Source organism: Homo sapiens, chromosome 3 (genome assembly GCF_000001405.40).
Source record: "Homo sapiens chromosome 3, GRCh38.p14 Primary Assembly".
NCBI lineage: Eukaryota > Metazoa > Chordata > Mammalia > Primates > Hominidae > Homo > Homo sapiens.
The window spans coordinates 127,465,290-127,469,059 of NC_000003.12; the positions used below are offsets into that span (position 1 = coordinate 127,465,290).

Genomic DNA, 3,770 nt, shown 5'->3' on the forward strand with positions numbered 1-3,770 from the left:
TTGGTGGGATATCCTTGCAGGCCCCAGCCATACCCCAAGGGCCACCCCTGTCGCTCCCAGTAGTCTATATCCGGCAGAAAGGAAGCCACCCCTTAGTCATTCCCTAGCAATCAAAGGGTATGTGATTCCTGCTTACAGCAGGTGCTTAATTACTTCAAAAGTGCCCCCAGAACAACAGTGCCATGCACAGGCCACCTCTGAGCCTGGTCCATGCTGTTTTGAGGTGTCACAGAGCTCAGCCCCAGCCAGCATTGGGAGTGGTCAGGACCAGCTGTCACGTTCCCCAGGAGAAAAGCATTACCATTCCACTAAATCAGCATCAGCTTCATGAAGACACAAGCAGGGTCTCTTGATCGTCCAAGCCCGTGCTAGGTGTCTTAGATGGGGTTCCCCCAGAGGCAGATCCTGAGACCAGGATTCAAGTGCAAGTCGCTTATAAGGGAGCCCAGGTAGCACCAGGTGGGAATGGGAACTGAGACAAGGAAGGGAAGGAAACCAGTGCTGTGCGGCCTCAACCAAGTCACCTAAGCTCTTTGAGCTTTGTCTCCTCAGTAAAACAGAGTGCAGTTATACCTCCCTGAGAGGATTGGTGTGAGGATCAAGGGAAGTGCCTGGCAAAAACAAGGTAAGTCCAAACGGTTGGAGTGACATAGGGGCCCCCAGGCATCCAGGATTGGCCAAGGCCCATAGAGAAGGACCTACCTGCACGCATGTTTACAAGCCCCAGGTTGCTGACCCACTGCCAGGGCTGTCTTCAGCCCTGTCAGTCCCCAGCACCCCTGCTATGGACTCTTCCAGCCCTGCTTCTCAGGCTCTGCCCTGTGGCTCCAGGCTGGCCCAAGCACGTGACCTTCCTTTGCGACCCCTGGAGCCCCTAAGTGCCACCCAGTAGATAGCTGGGGTGGGCAGGGCTTTTCCTTTGAGCCCTGCTGGCCTCTTAAGGCCCCACATGGGTAAAGGTTCACCAGTCCATACCACCCAAACTGGAAGTACCCCAGGAGCCCCACCCCACTCCTCCTGGCAGACAGGCTGAACTCACCTAAGTGGGCACAGACAAGAGCCCAGCTGGCTTTTGGCACAGGCCCACACCAGGGGGGACTGGAATTCCTGGGACTGCTGAGACCTGGGCCATCAGAGAGCGGATGCTGGCTCCATCCCTTGCCAGTTGTCCTGTAACCTTGGGAAACTTCCCCTAGCCCATCTGGGGTCCCTTGAAATCTCTATAAAATGGGCCTAAGAGCAGTGTCTGCCCCTTGGGTTGTGAGGGGGCAACTGGGGTCACCCATGTGAAGGGTCCGAGCCCGAGGTAAGTGCTTACTAAATGCTGCAACACTAGACTGAAAGGAGCAGCCAGGGGTCCAGGCTGCAGGGGCAGAGGGGTGCAGGTTGCAGGGGCTGAGGGGTGCAGGTGCAGGTGTCTCCAAGAGAAAGTGAGGATGTCCCCGAGGCCAACTTCACCAGCAGGAATATGGGACCCCTGCTCAGCAGGACTCAGGGTGGTGTCCTTATACCCATGATGCTCCAAGTCAACTGATGACAGGACCCAACCAGGGGCACAGCCAGTAACCAGATGACAAGGGCTGAGGAAGCAGGATGGGGTCCAGGGCCCACACAGGCCTGGCCTCCCAGATACATTCTTCCAGTAATACTGTTAGAAGTGATATACATCTGGCATTTCTAGTCCTTTACATAATGGCCTCACTAGTCATCCAACACCCCCACAAGGTAGAGCCTAGTATCAGCCCCACATTCCAGATAAGGAAACTGAGGCACAGAGAGGCTCCTGCCTCATCCAGGCAATGGAGGGGATTCATCCCAGCGAGCCCGGCGCCAGCCTGGCTCCCATCCACTGCTTTAGAGCCCCTTGTCTTCAGGCACAGAGGTGAGAGTGCTGGTGGGAGTTCCTAGAGATGGAGGGCCAGTGGAGCCAGCCACTCCTGGGAAGAACCTCCCACTGCCTCGACCCAGGCCCACTGCAGGTGCCACCTCCTCCCTGATCCCCCAACCAGGCATGTTCTCCTCCCATCCCCAGGCACTTTCTTCTGCCCTCGTCTTTCCCTGACCTGCACTCTCACCTAAGCCAACTCTCCCTGCCTGATCTGGGTCCCTGAATTTGGGCACGGGGCATGGGGGTCCCTGGCCAGGGAGGGCAGAGGAGGGAATCATAAGTGCCATCCACCTCCCCTTCCTCCTGCAGCTTGCCTGGCCCAGACTCCCTTAACTAGCTCTGGCTTCAAACCTAGGCTCTCCCAGCCCCACCCCCGCTCGCCTGCTGCAGGCAGGCCTGGCCGCCCTGATGCAATGGGGGCGGTGGCAGCTGGGGGCGGACTGCTTCCTTCCAGGGCTGCGGCTTCCACATCAAACCCATGCTCATTAAGAAGCACGGCGAGTGCCAGGGTGACATCTTTATTCACGCGCCCAGAGACTTCAAAGCCTTCAGGAGATCTCCTCGGTGGATTAGACATGAAAAATGTTGGAGATGAGATGGAGCAAAGAAGCAGACAGCCGCTCTGGATGTTAATTAGGCAGGGGGTGGGGGCCGCCTCCAGTCCAGGGTGGGTTCCTCTGGGGCAGAAGGGCCCAGACCACCAGAGGCTCTCTGTGGCTACAATCCCAGGTCACCTGGAGGCTAGAACCTCCCAAGCTGCAGGCCAGGTCCCTGGATGTGGGCGAGCTGGACCCAACAGGAGAACTTGCTCTGCAGTGAACATGACTGGGTGACCCCAGCATCCCCATTAGGGAGAAGCTTCAGCTTCACTGCTGCCCACAAATGTAGACCAAGTCCTGCATGGACTGCTCTGTGCGGGCTGCTGCCAAGAAGGCGGAGAGGAAGGGGACATCCCAGGATCTCAGTCTTGGGAGGCAGGTGGGAGTAGTTGCGAGTCTCTGTGGTCAGTTCCGAGAAGGAGGCAGGTCCAGGAGGCTGTGGGAGCCAGAAGAGGTAGTCCAGGAAAGCTTAGATGGGGAAGAGGGGCAGACCACCAGAAATGAGAAGGGAATTCCTAGCAGAAGAAATGACACAAGCAAAGGCTGGAGGGGTCGACATGGAAGGCAAAGCCATTCTCTGTCAGGAGTGTCACAAGCAGGGCTGGGTGCAGGTTGAGATGGAGCAGGACGAGGAAGCAGGGGTGGTCTTGAATAGGTGGCAACATGGTTACAGTTAGGGTTTGGGGAATGTTTTGGTGGCACAGGTGGGAGCTGAATGTGGGGGCCAGAGGTCTGGAGAGTGATTGATTGTCACAGTCAGGAGCATGGCTGTGGTCCAGGTAGAGGGTGACGACTTGAAACAAGAGGTAGCCACAGGAATATGGAGGAGGCAGGAGAGAGAATGGCAAACACCAGGTGAGTGATGGAGAGGGACCAGGGACAAGTCACAGATCAGATTCAGATTCTTGGCCCCTGTGACCAGGTAGAACCTGGGGCTCTCCCCAAGGTGAGAACACAGAGGAGAAGCAGGTGTAGGGGAGGGTGCTGGGCTCAGTATGGAGCCTGCTGGGTTTGAGGTGCCTCCAGGACACCTGGTGAGAGGGTCAAAGGTGGGAGAAGCTTTTGAGCCAGAGCTCAGGGGAGGCATGGGAAAAAGGGAGCAGCCCACCACCCACTCAACCAAGATGAATTGATGCCATGTTGGGCAGGGGCAGGCTCTTGCCAGACATTATGTCTCCAAAAGGATTGTCTCAGCCTGGGAGGGGCTGAGAAAGGGAAAGGAGAGGACCCAGGCCTGGGGGCATCGGGGGCCTGACCCCACCCAGGAGCAGAGTGAGGGGCCT

General features: G+C 57.4%; 2 annotated features.

The window, feature by feature from the left end:
• Positions 331-832: an enhancer, noted in NCBI's record as "H3K4me1 hESC enhancer chr3:127184463-127184964 (GRCh37/hg19 assembly coordinates)". NCBI's record gives its function as "activates a minimal SCP1, AML or CMV promoter by ChIP-STARR-seq in naive H9 embryonic stem cells {active_cell/tissue: H9 hESC(naive)}" and the evidence as "EXISTENCE:reporter gene assay evidence [ECO:0000049][PMID:30033119]".
• Positions 833-1,332: an enhancer, noted in NCBI's record as "H3K4me1 hESC enhancer chr3:127184965-127185464 (GRCh37/hg19 assembly coordinates)". NCBI's record gives its function as "activates a minimal SCP1, AML or CMV promoter by ChIP-STARR-seq in naive H9 embryonic stem cells {active_cell/tissue: H9 hESC(naive)}" and the evidence as "EXISTENCE:reporter gene assay evidence [ECO:0000049][PMID:30033119]".